This window comes from Homo sapiens, chromosome 6 (genome assembly GCF_000001405.40).
Source record: "Homo sapiens chromosome 6, GRCh38.p14 Primary Assembly".
NCBI classification, from domain to species: Eukaryota; Metazoa; Chordata; class Mammalia; order Primates; family Hominidae; genus Homo; species Homo sapiens.
Window position 1 is genome coordinate 119,141,852 of NC_000006.12, and position 20,417 is coordinate 119,162,268.

General features: G+C 44.5%; 1 protein-coding gene across 2 annotated transcripts in view, besides 1 other annotated feature; it reads right to left on the reverse strand.

Annotated features, from left to right (window-relative positions):
- The window catches only part of FAM184A (family with sequence similarity 184 member A), a 189,366-nt gene extending 182,089 nt beyond the window's left edge, over positions 1–7,277 (reverse strand). For both annotated transcript variants that reach the window (NM_001288576.2, NM_001100411.3), the window contains exon 1: positions 7,227–7,277. The gene's annotated coding sequence lies outside the window, so the exon portion shown is untranslated. The remainder of the gene's footprint in view (positions 1–7,226) is intronic.
- Positions 5,594–5,663: an enhancer, noted in NCBI's record as "active region_25016". NCBI's record gives its function as "activates an Ori minimal core promoter by ATAC-STARR-seq in GM12878 lymphoblastoid cells {active_cell/tissue: GM12878}" and the evidence as "EXISTENCE:reporter gene assay evidence [ECO:0000049][PMID:35858748]".
- Positions 7,278–20,417: the final 13,140 nt, after the last annotated feature.

The following is a 20,417-nucleotide window of genomic DNA, read 5'->3' on the forward strand; positions in this document are numbered from 1 at the left end:
ATTCAGTAGCACCTATTCCAATAGAGGAGCTCAGAGAAATTTGAAGTAAAAATACTTTATTATTTTCTTACATCATCTCCTTAAAGGAATCACACAACAAATCCTGTCTAAGCCCAAATAATCACCCCTTAATTGTATCTCTTCTATAAATGCTGATTTTCATATGTTTGAGAATGGTTATTCCTCTAGAGTGCAGGGCACCTGGGTATGTCAGCCATTTAGCAGCAATATAGTTAAAGCGTTGAGAGTTAATCATTCCCATCCCTGCTCCCAGCAAATCTATTTTGTATGCCCCAGCTTGGAGAATGTTATGCAGGACTCGGGCGAACATCTGAAGACAATATATCAGCTAGGCAGCCCAAGCCTCTCTAGGGTGTGGTATTTATGGATGTGGTGACTACTGAGTCGGCCGGGAAAGGACGTAATGACCTCGAAGCCCTGATGGTGTCACTTCCCAAGATCATCCCAGGCGCACTGTTTCTTCTAGGACAAGGAGGATAACGCAATGCAGCAGAGGGTGTATTCTTCAGAGACCAAAGGCCACAACAATTAGAAAGTTTCTAAAACCAGGCTTGATCTACTGAAGTCCACACTTAACATTCTTCATCCTCCCAGGTATGAAAACGACATTGAACATTTAACAACTCACAGTGAATGCAGACCCAGTTGGAACTAGAGTGGAACTCAAAAAAACAAGTATGGATTTAACATCGCGAGTCAAGCAGCACAGGGAGAAGGACGTTCTTGCATTCAGAAGACAAACAAGCTAAATGTCAGTTTAGCCATGTCCATTACTCCTCTCCAGTACGAAGCCTCAGCATCTACAAAATGCACTTAATTCTCATAGACCTCCTGGAGGAGGAGTGTTGTGGTTGAATTGTGTCTCCCCGAAAGATATGTTGAAGTCCTAACCTCAGCAGCTGTGAATGTGACCTTATTTAGAAATGGGTCTTTGTAGATGTAATCAAGTTAGGATGAAGTTATACTGGATTAGGATAGCCCCAATCCAATTATTGCTGACCGGATAAAATGAGGGAAATTTAGACACACACAGAAAAAGCACGCCAAGTGAGAACACAGACACTCAAAAGGAAGATGGCAAACAATGGCGATATATAGCTATAAGCTGAGGGCACCAGGGGTTTCTGGGAATCACCAGAAACTAGGAGGGAGGTATGGGGCAGATTCTCCCTAAGGGCTCCTAAGAAGGAACCAATCCTGCTGGTACCTTGATTTTCAGCTTTTAGTTTTCAGAACTGTGAAAGAATACGTTTGTGTTGTTTTAAGGTACCCTGTTTTTGGTACTTTGTTGAGGCATCTCTAGGAAGCTAATACCATGATTATTCCTTTAGTAGGAGAAACAAACACAGGTTTCAGAGATGTTAAAGAAATTGCCTAAGATTGCACAGCTGGTAAATGATTAACATAGAGAATTAAAATCCAGGGTTGTGACTTCAAATCCTAGATCCTTCCCCCAACATGAACTTGCTTTATGAGATGCAGAGAAGCCCACATTGTCCTGTTCAGAAAATCCACTAATCTATATCTCTGAAAACAGTTGGCATGGAGGTGAGTAAAACAAAAGATGTGCAGCAATTCCACATCTGGGTATATGCTCAAAAAGAATCAAAATCAGGGTCTTGAAGAGATATTTGTGCACTCGTGTACACAGCATTATTCACAATAGCCAAGAGGTGGAAACAATCGAAGTATCCCACAGCAGATGAATGGATAAACAAAATGTGGCCTCTACATGAATAGAATATTATCCAGCCTTAAGAAGGAGTGACGTTCTGACACATGCTACAGCTTAAATGAACCTTTAGGACATGACGCTAAGTGAAATAAGCCAGTCACAAAAGGACACACACTGTACGATCCCACTTGGATGAGAGGCATCTAGAGTAGGCTAATCCAAGATGAGAATTAGGAATTATTTAATGGGTTTAGAGTTTCAGTTTTGTAAGAAGAAAGAGTACTGGAGATTGGTTTGACAACAATGCCAGTGTAGTTAACAATACTGAACTGTATACTTAAACTTGATTAAGATGGTAAATTTTATATGTGCATTGTACAACATTTAAAAAGAGAGAGAGAGAAAGAGATGTGCATGGGGCTTTTTCTGATAACAGCATTATTAGCTTGGCCTAGATGTGAGAAGGCAGTCTGATAGAACAGGCTGGTTTCCTCATTCAAGGAAATATTGTTTCTCACGCCTGTAATCCCAGCACTTTGGGAGGCCGAGGCGGGTGGATCACGAGGTCAGAAGATCGAGACCATCCTGGCTAACGCAGTGAAACCCTGTCTCTACTAAAAATACAAAAAAAAAAAAATTAGCCGGGTGTGGTGGCGGGCGCCTGTAGTCCCAGCTACTCGAGAGGCTGAGGCAGGAGAATGGCGTGAACCTGGGAGGCGGAGCTTGCAGTGAGCTGAGATAGTGCCACTGCACTCCAGCCTGGGCCACAGAACGAGACTCTGACTCAAAAAAAAAAAAAAAAAAAGAAAATATTTTTTCTGCCTGCCTGGGACTTGCGTCCTATGGAAGCATTCACAGAAAGGGGGCTGCCTAAATTGCTCCAGTGGGGCCTGGAAGCCGACAGCTCTGACAGGTGCTGGCTTTGCCCTTCACGCCGGCACACACTCTGCCACTGTTAGTCCAAACTGCTGTTAGAGTCAGCGTGGCTCAGGTGTTTAGCATCTGCTCCTGAGACTGACAGTGCTAGGTTCTTTTCTCAAAAGACTTGGGGAACAAACTCTTTCTTTGCTAGTAGGTGAGCGATTCTAATTGCATTTCTTCTTTATTTTGCTAGCTTGTGGTGAAGATAAAAGTCATGAGAGTCTTTTCTATGGACTGTCCCTGCCTCCAAAAGCATGCTGCTTAGTAGCAGAGCTCTGGCTAAGAAATGGGAGACAGTGCTGAGCTGCTGCCAGCTCCCGTGACGTGCCCCCTGGCCTAGGGGGTGGTAGATGGGTGGTATATGCCTCTATTTTGTTTGCACCCCTGCTTGTCTTTGTGTCACTGACATACACATTCACAGTCTGATTTACTTAATGTCTGCAACTAATTCTACTGAGAGTTTACAGAGTGCAAAAGGGCATCATAGATCAAGCAACATCATCGCGTTATGTGATAAATGTATTGGTCCTTCTCTGTCTGGCTCTCCAGGTCCACTCTCCACCCTTCTCTGCTGACCTCTAGGCATGGCATGTCCAGTGCTTCCCTTGTGCTGTAGCTGCAGCTGGTTTGTTCTTGAGTGGCACTGGCCAGAGATTGGCAGGCAGGAGGAGAATCCATCCATGGCAGGTATTCTCTCTGCTCCCTCTCTGCTGGTCCCTACCAACATCGAGACCCCTGTGGAGGGTTGGGTGGAGTGGCCTATCATGGCCACCTCTCTCCCCAGGTTGCAGCAACAGCTTCCTCCCATTGTCTGCTAGGCTGTAGGGGTGTAAGAGCTTCCTGTTGTTGCTAGGCCCTGGGAGATAACTATCTTTTATTGGCTTCTTTAGCTCTTACCCACACTTCTGCAAATACACCCTTCTGTCATTAAACCCTTCAATCACTCCTTTGGGTACGATCTGATTCCTGCTGGGACTCTGACTCAGTGAGTGCCAGGAAAAAAATACCACAGAGAACCAAGGGGCTAGGAAACAGCAAATAATATCAAAAATAAAAGTGAAAAGTTGGTTGATACACTTAGGTTCACTGCCTCACTGGCTGGCGTTTTTGACATGAAAGGCCCTTTGGCTTGGTTTCTTATTTTCAGTAGTCTGCAAATCTTTTAAGGCATCCATCCTCTGTATATTTCAACCACATTCCTCTCCACAAATAAGGCGTGAGTGTTTTGAGGACCAACTATTAGGAAGAGTTATGCACCAGTGACCCAATTCAAAAGGATAATAGTAATCATACTGATAACAGTGACAGCTAATATTAATATTTATTGTTTATCATATACCAGGCATTGTGCTAAATCTTTAGGTATCATCTCACTGAATCTTCACATCAGCTCCATTAAGCAAAAACATGATTTTTACAGGGAAGGAAATCAGACTTACAGAGGCTAAATATTTGCACATGATTTTACAGCTAGAAGTTGAACCGAGGCAATCTGACACCAGAGCCAGAGCTCTTAACTAGTATTGCACAGGTATTTCCCCAAATGTGGCACTAGTACCACTAGCGGCATAGGAGACCATCTGGGGACAGTCTATGGGTGAAGAGTTTGATTTGTTTAGTTATGTATTTATAGTTAGGATTACCTTCTATTTATGACAGGTGATATTGACTTTTCATTTTCAATAGTGATATAATTTCCCTTTCAAAATAAATATAATTAAAAATAAATAAATAAATTTAAAGGAAAACATTGAGGAACTATGTAGGCTGAGTATAGATATGGCCAAAATTAATGACTGAAATTTGGGGAACTCTGTACATTCCACACTGGCCCGCAGTGTGCTCCACATGTTCACACAGAACAAGACTGCTAGAAATGAGAAAAATTATATACCATCTGCTCTTCAGTGCCTTTCCCGATTAACTTACGTGTGTGTGTGTGTGTGTGTGTGTGTGTGTGTGTGTGTGTGTGTTTATTTGGAGACAGAGGCTCGCTATGTTACCCAGGCTGGAGTGTGGTGACGTGATCACAGCCCACTGCAGCCTTGAACTCCTGGGCTCAAGCGATCCTCCTGCCTCAGCCTTCCAAGTAGCAAGGACTACCAGTATAAGCCACTATGCCTAGCTTAAATCACCCATATTTTCCCATTTCCAGATACTATTCATAATACAGTCAGTTTTGCTATAACTAGGGTTTCGGTGTCACCAATTGGCTCATATGAATTTGACAAATAAGGAATAATGTCAGCATAGTATGGGGGTTGTTGGTCGACATGTATCTTTTCCCAGATGAGAGATGCTGTAAAAATGGGAGTAGAGTTAAAATCACTAGCAGGAAAGGAATAGTCACCCTCTCCCCTGGTGCACAGATTGGAGCTCTTCCAACTCTCCTTGAATTAAAAAGGAGTGCCTGTACCCAGGGTTTCCTCCCAGAGATGTGCACCCCCAGGCTTGCATTTATAGCTCTTGCCCTTTCCACATGATAGTCACTACATTCCAGAAAAAAACAAATGTAGTTTATTATCAGGATAGAGCCAGGGCCCCAAACCCTAGTTAGAGGCACTAAGACATCCAGCGGGGGCAGTGGCAGGCTCTGTTTTTTTTTTTTTTGTTTTTTTGTCTCCCAGATGCCTACAAAATGTGCCACCCTAACATCAATACCACGAACACAAGCACCACTTCCTCCTCTTTCTCCTGAATCTGAAGTCTCTTCCAAGTTCCTCATCCAGTCATGACTAAGGCAGCAAATAATCAAGTTGCTTCAGCTACATAGTAGTGGCTGGAAGAGGGTTTAGCGTGGGTGCATCCTAGCTGTGGGTCTGATCGATGATACAACCTGGTATTAACCGCTGGGCTTCCAACTGGTCCTGTCCCCTTGAAGACTTGATTCTGACTGGGGATAGGGTGGGGTGGGTGGGGCCTTTTGCCAATTCCAACTCCTCATTGTTTGCTGACATAAGATGAGGGCTCCCAACCCCCACCACCTCTTGCCAGGCTGATCCTTGCTTGAGTCATAGCAGGGATGACTCAGAGATGATAGACTGAATCTAGAAACAGACCAGACCACATGTAAAAATAGATCTTTGACCCACTCTCTGTACCAGAGAAGGAAACCAACCCCCTTATGTACAATAAATAACCCAGGAAGTCAGCCTGCTCGAACTCAGACTTGTAGGAAGCCAGGCTGCTGTCTCTGGTGACAATCCAGGAAGCTGAACAATAACTTCTGTAACAATCAGCCAGAAATGGCCAGGACCTGATTAATAACGGACAGCTTCCCTAACTTTTGTCACCATTTTAAATTTAGGAACAACCAGAGAAAGCCAAATCTGTACCTACCCCTAACCAATCACACAGTGTGCCCTGCTTCCAGTTAGCCCACCTGCAGCTTCCCCAGGCCAACAGCCTCCCATCAGGGCACACCTCAAGACTTCCCTTTTTTTCCACTCTAAAGCTTTCCCAGTGCTTTGCCTGTGATGGGGTCTCTGACAAAATGCAAGTGATGGTGGCCAACTTCATTGCTATAGCAAGCTCAGAATAAATAGCCTTTGCTTTTTCTCATTTGGTTGGTCTTTGTCTATTTCCATGGAACCTATAACCTGCTTACTGTCAACCCACCCACCCTAGTTCCCTGCCTAGCAATGAAACTCCATACCTCAACTTCTCCTATATGGACAAGATTTCTTCCTCTGCTGGGAAGAAGATCGTGGCCAGGAGAGTGTCAGCAGAAGCACTTTCCTGGGAAGGAGCCCAGGCAGGGCTTGGCTGGACTTCTGGTGATCTCCTGAGTGAGGTGCATGGAATGCCTGTCTTCTTCTAAGAGCCAGTGACCAGGGAAGACTGTAACTGGGTTTTAGCTCCAGTTGCTATTTTATTTCCCAGTCCCACCTACCCCACGAGAGTTGGAGCCTAGCCACATTCTTCTCAGTGATGAAAGTGTTGCGTATGAACCCAAGCCCACTAGTATGGCCCTAACCCCCACTGGGTAAATGTCCTCTCTGCCAGCTGCCTGTCCCCACGGCCAAGTCCAACTGTCTGGATTCTCTTTGTCCCGCCCCTGCTCTGCCTGCAGGGAGCCTCTCAGCTCTTTCTTTCTTAACCCCTTCCCCAGCACACTATTGCTGCCAGCATCAGATGTGTGACTAGCCAGCACTGTTCTATAAGCCTCCCAACACCATGAAACTGGAATCATTCAGTCATCCTGCCAGGCTTAGATCCAGCAGAATTTTTGAACAGATTGAGAAGTGGCCACATGATGGCACTATAAATCTAGCAATGCCCTCAGAAAGTTGGCAAACTGCAAAGCTCCAGGGAATCAGGATCTGTATTTTTTTTTTTTTAATGAATGTCAGAAAAGTGAAAACTGGTAATGGTCAATAGCCCCCAGAAAATCTTGATCTTATTTTGCTCAGGATTCTTCCTGATCAATGGCCATTTGTTTTTGACACTTGCCAAACATTAGCTATCCCTCTTCAGCACGCATCCCACCGCCCAATGCTGTCTTCGCTTTGTACTCAACGCATGCACATTTCTGTTCTAAATAGTCTGCCGGTTGCTATGAACACAAAAATAGACACACAAAGATTTAAGAAAGATGGAAATGTCTTACCTAAGCATGAGTGAAATGATTTCTTCTTTTGTTTTGGTCCATCATTATGCTAAATAAACGGAAGCCTTTTCCCTCTTCACACGCAGAGCTGAGCCAATCACAGGCACAAATGAAAATTGCCTATCTCTAGAAACAAATCCCTTGGCCGTCCTGGTTGATTAGTCATTACACATTTACATAGCACAGAAAAGGTTGCCCAGGTAATCATACAAACATTTGATATTTTCCCATGCCTTCTCTTGGCTGATCCAAATTCTTTGGAATTGAGATTTTTTTGTGTACCCTTTTAAAAATGAGCACTGTGAGATTTACTCAGACCTCTGATTTTTTCATGTGAGTGAATCATAGCCTGGTATGCCCTGAGCTTTGCATGAAAGGCAGCACAGCACAGTGGAGAAAATACATCTTCAGGCTCAAGTGGTGATGGGTAGTGGCCGGGGGCAACCTGAATCCTGGCTCAACTCTTTCTTGCTTTCTTGGCCAGCTGCTCTCTACTTCTTTGACTTTCAATATGCTTATCTGTGAACTGGGATAAAGAGTACTGAACTTCTAAGTTTTTTTAGGGGACTAAATGAGATAATGTAATGTATGTAATAGGTGTTCAACCAAGGGTAGCTAGTATTCTTCTGAGTAGAGTGGATGACTCCAGTGTGTAACCTATGGCCAAGCAACTGAAAGGTGGAGAAAGTTCCTCATGCTCTTTTGGAAATCTCATGTGGTGATTAAGAGCATGGTTTTTTGCATCAAACTGTCTGCATCCATACCATAGTTCTACTATCTTTGTAGTAGATGCAATAGAAAAGCGTAAGCAAAGCTTTCTAAGTCTCACCGTCTTGGTTTGTAATGTCAGTAATCATAGCCCCTGCCTCATGATGCTGGTGTGAGCCTGAATGAGACAATGCATGTGTTAGGGGTTGGTTTGTGTCCCAGAAAACGTGTTGAAGTCCAAACACCCAGTACCTGTAGGGTGACCTTATTTAGAAATAGAGTCTTTGCAGATGATCAAGTTAACATGAAGTCATTAGAGTGAGCCCTAGTCGAGTGCAACTAATGTGCTTATAGAAACAGGAAATTTGGACACAGAGGTACCCACACAAGGAGAACACTGTGAAGATGAAGGCACAGATCAGGATGAGGCATCTGTAAGCTAACAAATGCCCAAAATTGCCAACAAACGATAAGATGCTAGGAGAGAGGTATGGAACAGGTTCTCCCCGACAGCCCTCAGAAGGAACCAGCACTACTGACACATTGATCTTGGACTTCTAGCCTCCAGAACCGTGAGACAATACATTTCTGTTGTTTAAGCTCCCAGTTGGTGGTGCTTTGTTATGGCAGCCCTAGCAAACTAATACAGCATGGATGTATGTGACCCAGGGCATGCCTCCTAGTAAGCAGCCAGTAAATGTTCGACACTATTGCTGTTGATGTGGCTAGTGAGATCTCCACTTTATCTTTTTTATTTATGTATTTATTTTTGAGATGGAGTCTTGCTCTGTCACCATGCTGAAGTACAGTGGCATGATCTTGGCTCACTGCAACCTCTGCCTCCCAGGTTCAAGCGATTCTCCTGCCTCAGCCTCCAGAGTAGCTGGGAATATAGGCGCACACCACCATGCCCAGCTAATTTTTGTATTTTTAGTAGAGACGGGGTTTCACCATTTGGCCAGGATGGTCTCAATCTCTTGACCTTGTGATACATCCACCTCAGGCTCCCAAAGTGCTGGGATTACAGGCGTGAGCCACTGCACCCGGCCACCACTTTTTCTAATCAGTAGCTTTGCACAGGAATATTCCCAGCTGGTTTCTCCTACCTGTTACTAGAACCCACTTTTCACTGTGATGCTTAAACATGTGCAGAAAAGAAAAGAATATCCAAAAGCAGATTTCGATCAAGCTGTTGTTTAGATTTTTGGACCATTTAAATACCTTGAGCAGAGATTATTAAATAGAAAGGCCAGTGTATAAAGAATGGTTTTATACAAGGTGAGGGTAGAACCAGACAACACCCGTGATTACATTGCGAGGTGTTTTGGCAGATGTCAGATCCATGGCTAACACAAGACAAACCAGCAGTACCGAGTGTGGGGACGTGGATTCCTGATTTGCTGTTCACGCATCTCTGGGGAGGGGAAGTTCACCTCATGAAAGGCACATGATTCATAGCAGGGCTCCTTGGTGGCTGCTTTTTTTTTTTAACACTTGTTCTGCAGCAGCACAAAGGAAACAGTTTTATTCTTTAATTACTTGATATGAACTGTCTCACTGATGACAACTGTGCAGAAGTCTTGCAGAACCTATCTGGCCTGTAACTTGAGTTTGGATCTTGGCATCCTAACTGTCTGTAAGCCATCAGAATCTCTAAAACCACCTACACAGCAGAGAAGCCTGTACAGCTCCTGACTCATAGAAGGGTTCAATAATAAGTATTCGGTGTTAGAATAAATGAGCTGTGGGCCAGGTGCGGTGGCTCACGCCTGTAATCCCAGCACTTTGGGAGGCTGAGGCGGGTGGATTGCCTGAGCTCAGGAGTTGGAGACCAGCCTGGGCCACGTGGGGAAACCCCATCTCTACTAAAATCCAAAAAAAAAAAAAAAAAAAAAAAAAAAAAAAAGATTAGCTGGGTGTGGTGGCGCATGCCTGTAATCCCAGCTACTGAGGAGGCTGAGGCAGGAGAATTGCTGGAACCCAGAAGGCAAATGTTGCAGTGAGCTGAGATAGTGCCACTGCACTCCAGCTTGTGCAACAAGAGTGAGACTCCATCTCCAAAAAAAAAAAAAAAAAAAAGCTGCAAAAATAAATACATATTTTACTAATACTTGATTCTGGGACATAAAGATCATTAGGACAGCTTTATAGGAAAATATGCTTTTAAAGTTTGAGGTAGGAAGCCTTGGTGGTCTTTTTTTTCTGGAGAAATTAAAATTTCAAGCATTTCCTTCCTCTCATACATGCTGTGTACAAACCATCCCTAGAAATGAACTGTCTGGAGTATTTTATTTCTTAATTAATCCAGTTTTGCTATTTGGTGTAAACAGGATGATGTTCAGGCTGAATGAAAGAACAGGAAAGTTTAGGGGATACAATTCAAGGAGGAGTTTCAACTCCCTCCACATCTGCTGCTCTATTTTGCTTTAAATTAGATTTTAAAATTAATTTAATTTTTCATTTGAAACTGCTGCGCTCTCCACCATCTCTCTTTCTTTTCTTCCAGTAACTGGTCCTCCTCTCTGTGGCCCTGGTACTTCCCAGAGCAAACACTGCATCATCTGACAGTTCTTTTTCCATCATTTTTTTTTTCATTACTTAGCCAGACTGGTAATTTATTAGTAAGAAGAAGATGGTATCAGCTGACAGGACTAGGCTTATGGGCATATGAGAAAGACAAAGATCTCTCTCGCCAATTATAGAAATTCCAAGTTGTGATCCACTTCTTTCTAGCAAGCACCACCCTCTTTTAACATGAAAAGACTCAAAACACAACAGTAGATAATTTGACACGTCACCTTAACTTCTGCATCTGGAAAACTGAGACACAACATGGGATACCTATTTCATGGAGCTATTGTTGGAAATCATATTTTCAAGTATTTATTAATTCTCAGCTTCCCACCAAAGTTTTGATCTTCTGACCACAGACATCATACAAGAAAAGAATATAAGATAAAATAAAGGAATCAGGAACAACGAAATTACTCATAATAGTAGAGAGTCTAAAAAGTCAAAACTAAGGAAAAATATGTTCAGATGTTGGAGAGGGGTGGGCCACATAGTTTTGGTAAATAAGCTTTAAATATGACTCTGAGATCCTTGAAAGTTCAATGTTGTCACAGTGATGTCTGTGGTCAGCAGATCAAAACTTTGGTGGAAAGCTGAGAATTAATAAATACATGAAAATATGATTTTCTGTTTTGTGGTTTTTCATGATCAGAGAGAAGTTTAAGTCTTTTTTTTTCTTTCTTTTTTTGGAGTTGGAGTTTCACTCTTGTTGACCAGGCTGGAGTGCAATGGCGCAATCTCGGTTCACTGCAAACTCCACCTCCCGGGTTCAAGTGATTCTCCTGCCTCAGCCTCCCGAATAGCTGGGATTACAGGCATGCACCACCACGCCCAGCTAATTTTTGTATTTTTAGTAGAGACGGGGTTTCAACATGTTGGTCAGGCTGGTCTTGAACTCCTGACCTCAGGTGATTTACCCACCTCAGTTTCCCAAAGTGCTGGGATTACAGGTGTGAGCCACTGCACCTGGCCAAGAAGTGTAGGTCTTCTAAGAGATGATGTGTGGCACTTGAATGTCCTTAGCCCCACCAGCACTTAGGTACAATGAGGTGACATGTTCATTAAAAACAGTTTCTCCTGACTTTTGTCCCCTGCTTGTTGATCATAGACTCTTCTCATTCCTTTACTGCTCTTCTCCATCTCCTTGCATCTCTCTATTTCTTGCAGCCACAATACAAACAAACAGTGACAATAACAGCAGGCACAAAACAAGAACAATTTCCCACAGACATCAATATGTGCAAACAGACCTGAGCAGGGAATGGTCACCAGTCTCTCGTGAATTACATGAAACCAGACTCAAGATTCTATTTAGGCTCTCTGGGACCCTAACCCTATAAGACTCTCCTGTGCAAAGTGATACACAAGTGTAGGATTTTATCAGTGTGTCACTGAAGACGTTTAAAAGCCATTTAGGAGGTGGAAAGGAAAGGTGGAGACTGAAGACAAACGCTGGCTCTTTCCTCAACTTTCTTTGCCTTGTCTCTAGGCCTTTTTGTCATTGTTGCTGTTAAACCCCGATTTCCTTAGTATTCTTAAGAAATGGTGGTGGCCGATTCTTCTGCTTAGTGGTGGGGTGGGTATGAACAGGGGGAATTCAGATCTTTTTGGTTTTTAATTTAAAGTGGTATCTAAGTTACCTATTTTGAACACAGTTGAAACCCCTTGGGTGGAGGGGATAATGAATTAGGGAATTAATAGAAGTCAAAAGAAAGAAACCAGGAGAAGTCTCCCTGTATTCTAGCTGAGGACTAGGCTGCTGACCAACAGCCCCTGTCAGGCTCTCTTCCTTTTTCGCTTTGGAGATCTTTTTAGGTTACACCCTAATATACCCTTAGCAGAGTATTAGCTCTGATGCTGGGCAGCATCACTTTTTATTAACTTGTCTGTCTCTCCTTCTGGACTGTGACATTACTTGAGGGGAGAGTTTTGTCTTTTATCTCAGTATCACCATTTCCTAGCAGATTCTTGGCTCCAAGAGGGAAGAGAATTTATTTTATTATTTCCTATACCTCTTACTCAGTCTCCAGTAAATATTTATTGCACGGATAAATAAGTTACCTGGCAAATTGTAGGTACTTAATAAATATTTGTTCAATTATTGAATTGTACATGGAAATTAAATCATATTTTCAATCAGTCAGGAAGTTACCTATTTGGAGAAACATCTAATGTATCCTATGTGAAGTGACTTTCTTCTCCACTTAAAATTCCTAGTTTTCTTTTTAGTTTTTCCAGATTATGCAAATAATACATGTTACAGAAAATCAGGAAATCACAGAAGAAAATAATAATGATGCAGAATCCTTTCATGTCAAATTAAAAACTTATATTGCATATATAATTTTAAATCCTGCTTTTTACATAATCATGACTATTTTGTTACATCATTAACTTTTTTGGCTTAACATCCTGTTTAGTGGCTATACAACATTCTGACTTATCAATTTGCCTTAATTTTAGCTATTTCTCTTGTTACTTACACTGTAGTTTGGTTTTAATTTTTCACTATTATAAAAGACATTTAGCAATGAAAAGTTTGAATATAAATTCCTGCTTGCATTTCTGACTATGTGCTTAGAATAGATTTGAAAAACTCTTCTTTTTCTCCTAAGATGTTCAGGGCAGTGTATTTGAGTAAAGACTGGCATTTTCTGCCTTTCATTAGTGACACTGGGTAAAGGTGAACATGGTTACTAGCTGTTAGTTTGCCGATTGTCCTTTCTTGAAAGATAGCGGCCCAATACTTTTGAATACTGTAGCCTTGTGACCAGCTCCTGAACTGTATCTTTAACACAGCCAGGCTTATAATCCAACCCTCTATCTTCCTCACCCTCTGACCCCAAACCTGGGTGCTCTGGACATTCCCATGACAGCCAAAGAAGGATTTTGAAAAAGCTGAGATTGATGGAGCCCATTCAGGCGTGCACTCTTTAGGTGAAAGGGATAAAAGGTAAATGCATTTTTATATAGCTTTCAGTCATCCTGAACACCTATTGCCCTAACTGAACTGACCCCCTGAGTTTATGCCCCTGGTAACCCTCTGAAGAGTACTCTGGGCTCTAATACAAACTCAAGGAGATGCTGATTCTTTTTTTTTTTCTTTTTTGTGACAAAGTCTCGCTCTGTCCCCCAGGCTGAAGTGCAGTGATGTGATCTCGGCTCACTGCAACCTCCGCCTCCTGGGTTCAAGCAATTCTCCTGCCTCAGCCTCTTAAGTAGCTGGGGTTACAGGCATGCGCCACAACACCTGGCTAAGTTTTGTATTTTTAGTGGAGACGGGGTTTCACCATGTTGGCTAGGCTGGTCTCAAACTCTTGACCTCAGGCGATCTGCTTGCCTCAGCCTCCCAAACTGCTGGGATTACAGGTGTGAGCCACCGCACCCAACCAAGGACACGCTGATTCTGTAAAGACAGTGTGGGGCAGCAGATCATCCTTTCTTCTTGCTGCCTAAAATAGCCCATTAGAAGAGGAGATGGGAGACCAGGTGACATGGCTCACCAGCACTTTGGGAGGCTGAGATGGGAGGATCCCTTAGGCTAGGAGTTTGAGGACCTTGTAAAAAAAGAAAAATAAGAGGAGATAGGTATACTTTAGTCCAATATGTTGTATAAGCAATGCCAGAGCATGAGGAACAGCATATCTTTATATTTATTTAGAGACAGTCCATTCTCATCTAAAAACCTAAGTGGCTATTGATTTTAACTGAACCAAGTAGAAATTGCCACAGGGTGAAAAATCCAGAACTGGTTATAGACACCAGCTGTGCACCAGGAAGACATCTGTGTAAATCCTTCCTGCCACTGGGTTATGGTCTTCAGCAGCAAGTGGGATAGAGGCTGAGTGACTTGTATGGTAAGACACAGCTGATGGTACAGGATGGAGCACAAGAAGGTCACATGGCTCAGAAGAGTGTCAAGAGAGTCAGAATACCAAGCACCCGCCTCTCCTCTTAGAAGTTGTGTGGGTTCCGGAGCCTGACGTGGGGTGGGAGGAGGGGGGAGGGATAGCATTAGGAGATATACCTAATGTAAATGATGAGTTAATGGGTGCAGCACACTAACATGGCACATGTATACATATGTAACAAACCTGCGCCTTGTGCACATGTACCCTAGAACTTAAAGAATAATAACAAAAAATAAAAAAAAGAAGTTGTGTGGGTTACAGTTCCCTGAGAGATTGGCAGGTCCAGCAGAAAGAAGTTCTTTGAGGGACAGGGGAGTTGGGGTCATGTATTGGGGAGCTGTGTGCCCCAGGCCTGAGATGAGCGCAGAGGCAAGGACAGTCAACAGAGCGGTGGAGGGAGGGCAGGTAACTGTCACCATACCCACCTTCACAGCCAGTTAGTTCATTCTGTTACTCTGAGATTTTTTGTTTTAGAATAAAATAAACTGTGTCTGGAAATAGATGACAGGCAGGATTAAAGCAGGCATTTATTAATTAATAGCATGAACTTTAAATAAGTGATACACACACTTAGCTGTAGCCCAAACAGTGTGGTTTTTTTTTTTTTTTTAAATCACATGGCCAACAAACCTCGCCAATATATTTTTACAAGGCTGTTAAATACTGCCAACACTCTATGATGTTGAGCCAAATTATTCTGGAATATCGTGGTATATAGCACAACACCATGTTTTTGTGAAAGACTAGAGATACCAGGGGAGCAATCCACAAAGCTCATGAATGTCTCACTGTAAATGGAATGTCTCAGTGTGAGCCAGCCCCTTGGGGCTGAGGGTCTCACCTCCTTACCTTTGATGGCTTGTGGCGGTAGAGTTAGGCTCAGTGGGGCTTCTCATTTGGAGGCAGGGGAGCCAAAACCTGGGTCTGTCTTTTAAAACCCTGAGACTATATCTCATAACTAGAGTTGGGACTTTCACCTCAGTAAGTGCCAGTGATCTTTTCCAAGAGCCAATCTCAGAGCTGGTAGGAGCTCAGCTTGCAGGAGCCTGGAGCATATCTCCTCGACGTCATCAATCTCAAGCAGGCCCAGCATCCAGCTTTCACCAAATGCTCACTGCATCCAGGGCCAGGCTGGTCTGCCGCCTACCTTACTAGGTGCCATCCTGGCCAGCGCTGCTTGCCACCACTCCCAGTGGGACTTCCTTCCTGCCTTACTGCGGCCCCTCTTAATCCAGCCAGATTGCATAATTAGCAAACCGTGCTTCAGTCTGTATTTCAGTGCAAGGAGATGCAGAGGACTGGGAGTTTGGCAAAGATTTGAGTAGTAGACAAACCAGAGTACAGCTGAGAGGCTGTGGAGTGTGCAGACGATCCACATCTGGCTTTCTGCAGAGGTTCTCAAAGAGCTGGCATGATGCATGATCTCCCACGGTGCTAAGGGAGATAGCACATGGGTGCTGGCTGAAGACATTGAAATTTACTGGGGTACAGCAAACACACAAGTCATCAGCATCAGCATATAACACATGTCCTGGAGCAAAGAGTAAGTGTACCGTAACTATTTACTAAAAGAAAAAGGTAATTCCAATCATGGATAACATTGTGAAGGACAGAAAGAAGTATTTTTATACTGGGAAGTGTAGATCACTAGTTCTTTTCCCAGTAGCAACTCCCCTTCCTACCCCAATCTCTACCCTTTGAAGGGAGAGTCCTCTGGATATGTAATGGGGCTACATTTACCTCTTGGATGTATCCCCTGCAGTTTTTCTGCCATTAAGATGAAGCCATGACAACTGAATAGGAAAGAAAGAGGACTTGACCTAAGAAAGGTCTTACTGGATGGGACAAGGAAAGGAGAGTGCTCCTTTCTTTGTGGTTGGGCATGAACTTGAGAGGAGATGTAAGGTGGAGGCAAAGGTCAGCTCGAGCGCCTGGTGGCCGCCTGCAGTGGTTAGGTGAGGTGTTGGTGGCAGGGTAGGGTCTGCCTACTAGCGGTGGGCCCTGGAGCACATCCTTCTGTCCCTCTCCTCCTCCACCCAACCCGGCCTTCTGTCATGAAGTGTTTCCCAGGCTGCTGTGGCTGGAACCTGCAAATGCAAAATAAAAGAACAAAAAACGGATGGTGCCAAAACAGTGTGGTCTGTGCTTGCCATCTGTGAGTTTTCAGAGTGATTTTGCTTCCAGCCTCCCCTCCAGAGGCGGCTGACATTACTTTCATATGCAGAGCTTCCGCTAGCCTGGAAGCCTTCTTTGGCTGCCAGAAATAGAGTATCCAGGTCCAGAAGCCTCCCCAGAGATCTGATCCACTCAGGAAGAACATTCTCTGTGGCTGTGACTCAGTGGGATCTGGGCAGCCTTTGCTTCTGCTGATGCATTGAGTGTGTGCTGTGTGTCTGGGCAGCCTTGTGCATGATGGGAAGCTGAGAAGGCTGTGCAGCAGCTCTTTCATCATCAACATCAGCCCAGCACATGGAACCTTCAATGACCCCATATTTCTCCATGGGTCATTTCTTAATGAAGAATTCTAAGCCTTTCTCCTTTGCTTTCGACATCCTGCTCAGTCTGCCCCCATCCTGCTTATGTAAGTTGTTTTGCACTTGTCCTTAATATCCCTTCCTCTGTCTGGTTGCCCTATTGGCCTCATTATTAAATTTCTCATCTTCCATAGAATCTTCCAGGTCTTCTGGCTCTCCTCCCTTCTGATTACCAGTGGCACTTACTATACAGTTGGCATTCATTGTGCACCTTCTCACAAAGCTCACCCTTGTCTTTTGTCGTCTTTTCTCCCCCCCAGCTCATTTAAAACACATTGAGGTCAGGGTTATGATCTAATTCTTCTCCCCAGGCCCCATTTTGGTAAACACAGACAAGAGTGGAGCTTTCCTTGGAGTTCAGGAATTCCTAGGCAGGAGATCCAGTGATTTTCAGCTATGACCTCCTGTGGAACAGAGAGGGACAAGCCAGCTAGTTCTTAGAAGAGGAAGAGGAATGAGGCAGTTGCTGCCTGACAGGGAGGAAAATTCCTCCTCAATCCTTGGTTATTCTCAACTAATCACAAAGATACCGGAAAGCTATACCTATTATTTGGTGCATGAGCAGGAATAGTAGGCACCGCCTTGAGCCTCCTAATTCGAGCAGAGCTGGGCCAACCAGGAACTCTACAATGGGATGACCAGATTTATGATGTTAATGTTGCAACTCCTTCCTTTACATACAAGCAGAACAGGCTTCAGGATGGCCAAGAGGGGGTCTGTTCCTTCCTGCTGTTCTGTTCCTCAGCTTCACTTCTCCCTCAAGGCATTGTGACCTAAAGTCGGGCCTGGAGAAGAAACCCTAGCCTCAGTTCCTACTGGGAGGAAATCCACACCACTTCACCATGCTGGGCCCATCCTTGGGTGGGGAGGGTCTGTGGGAAGGAGAGAGGCATTTGCCACAAGAAATTGCGCATTTGGCAGTCTGGCTGCCGTAGGCTCCCATCCAAGCATCTCTTCTGCAGTAGGAAGACGACTCTTCTCCCTCTTGGTTTCCTCTCATTGGTCATAAGGGAGAAGTGGGAGAAACCACAGCCAGAATGGCTGCAACTCTCTCCCTCTACCCTAAGGAAGGTGGAAAGGGAAGCCCCCAGGTCCCCTGGAGTGAACATTCTGCTTCAAGGAAGACCTGCTACCTGCCTTCTGTCCCCTCTCTCATATGCCCTCCTTGTTTTTAAGAACCTGCGGTCCATACCCACTTCCCTCCTCCAAGAAGTACATGAGATGCTCTTTATTGTGCCCAGTGGCAACAACCAGGAGGGCCCACAGTGACAGTCACTGGGCGGCAAGATAAGACCCCACCCCACAGTTTAGGGCCCAGGCAAGCATGGGGGTGTTGGGGGAGAGAAGAGACAAGGGAGGGAAGGAGAAGCCCCTTGTGAACAAATGTTCCTCTATCTCAGATTCTCCCCATTGATGTTGAGTCTCTGGAGATTGTACAACCCCTACCCATTGCCAGGGGACTGAGGGAGCCTCGAGCTTGGATGCTGGCTGGAGGTGGGAGTCTAGGGCAGGGAAAACCTTCATATTTGTTGAAAAAAACTTTAAATATCTTATTTAAAAATTTGTGCACTCCACTACTCTGTTGTAGAGCACAGCTCCCATTTCCCAGCCCTAATTTTGGGCTAATTTGTACGAATTATGTCATCTGGGGCAAAAGAGGGAGAAGAAAAACCACGGATGTTTATGGACACTCCACTGTGTGCTATGCCAAGCCCTTCACACCTGTTATCACCTTCTCCCAGCCCCTTGCAGAGATATTTTTCTATACATTGTATCAATGAGGAAGCGAGGGCAAGAGGAGGTGAGTTACTGCTGACAATGATCTTCACATCACCCTCCTGTAACTCTCTCCTATCATTTATGCCCTCGTCCACTCCAGTGCTGCTCACAGTGTCCTCACTGTTCCTTGACCTTCCATGCTTCCTTTCACTGTAAGTCCTTTGCTATAGCCAGTGTCCCTGCTTGCAGCACTCTTCCCCTGGGAATCCCAAATAACTGCTTGGCCAATTCTTCATAGCTTTCATGCCTTTGCTCAAATCTCCTGTTCTCTACAAGGTCCATTCTGACTACTGGATCTTAATACTACAACATGTGCCACATCCACACTCCACATCCCTGAGCCTCCAGTCATCTTACTCTGTTCCACTTTTAAACTTTGCAATAGTTCCTATCATCTCCTAACTCTTATACAATTGACTTACTTATGAAATGTATTGTCTTCTGCTAGAACGTAAGCTGCATAAGAGCAGGGAACTTGGCCTTTCTTGTCCACTGATGTGTTGCCAAGCACTTGGAATGGTGACAGGCATATGGTAGGCATTCAGTCCATAGCTGATGACTCAATTTTTATGAAAGGTCACCCTAGCCTTGATCTAGTAAGAGGCAGAGCTGGACTCAACTCAAAAGCTGGTCATCTTGCCTTCCCACCAAAGAACCCATGGCCTGTCCAGGTAGAGAGCATATTGTTGGTTGCTCAAGAGATGCCCGTTTGTTAGATTTCACCATTAGACTGCTCCTTCCTAGCAGAGATGCCAGACTGGTGTCTGTGAACATAGGACCTTGCCTTGTCTTTCCTGAGTGACAGGTTTTCCCATGGGCCCACCTGCTGCTGGCATCCTGCTGTTTCAATGAGGTGGCACACTCCTGGTCATAGGGCACCAACCTCTATGGTCCTTGGGAGTGTCTCCAAAACAGCACAAGCTGTTGAGTCCATGCTGGATGCTTAAGACACATGCTTGAGATTTCTCCAAGTCAGACACCTGTCAAATCCAGGGTTGGCTCTCAGCCTCTGCTTAAAGGATTTGCTTTCTAGGAAATGATGGAAGGAAACAGCTGGGGCTTGTCAGATGTCAGCTGGAGGTGCCGGGCCAGGACAGAGCCTGAGAGGGTGTGAGGAGAAGCCAGTGGAGCAGGAAATCATGGATTACCAGGGTGGCTGCTTTCTGGGCAGGAATGCAGTTGAGTCTTTCTTAGGGTTGGGCTGCTGCGGTGGTTTTGTTCTGTTTTGTTTTTTGTTTTTGTTTTTTCGACACGGAGTCTCGCTCTGTCACCCATGTTGGAGTGCGGTGGCGTGATCTCGGCTCACTGCAAGCTCCGCCTCCCGGGTTCACCTCATTTTCCTGCCTCAGCCTTGCGAGTAGCTGGGACTACAGGCTCCCACCACCACGCCCGGCTAATTTTTTTTTGTATTTTTGGTAGAGACGGGGTTTCACCATGTTAGCCAGGATGGTCTCGATCTCCTGACCTCATGATCCGCCCTCCTTGGCCTCCCAAAGTGCTGGGATTACAGGCGTGAGCCCCCACGCCCGGCCTCTGTTTTGTTTTTAATTAGGATTTGGGATGGAGGTGTTTACTGTAAAGAAACTCCATACCATGAGGGCACACTTGGACCAACTGGTGGGGTCCACCAGCTTTAGATTACAGATATGTAGCTGTTTATCTCTACCTCAGTTTCCTCAGTATAGATC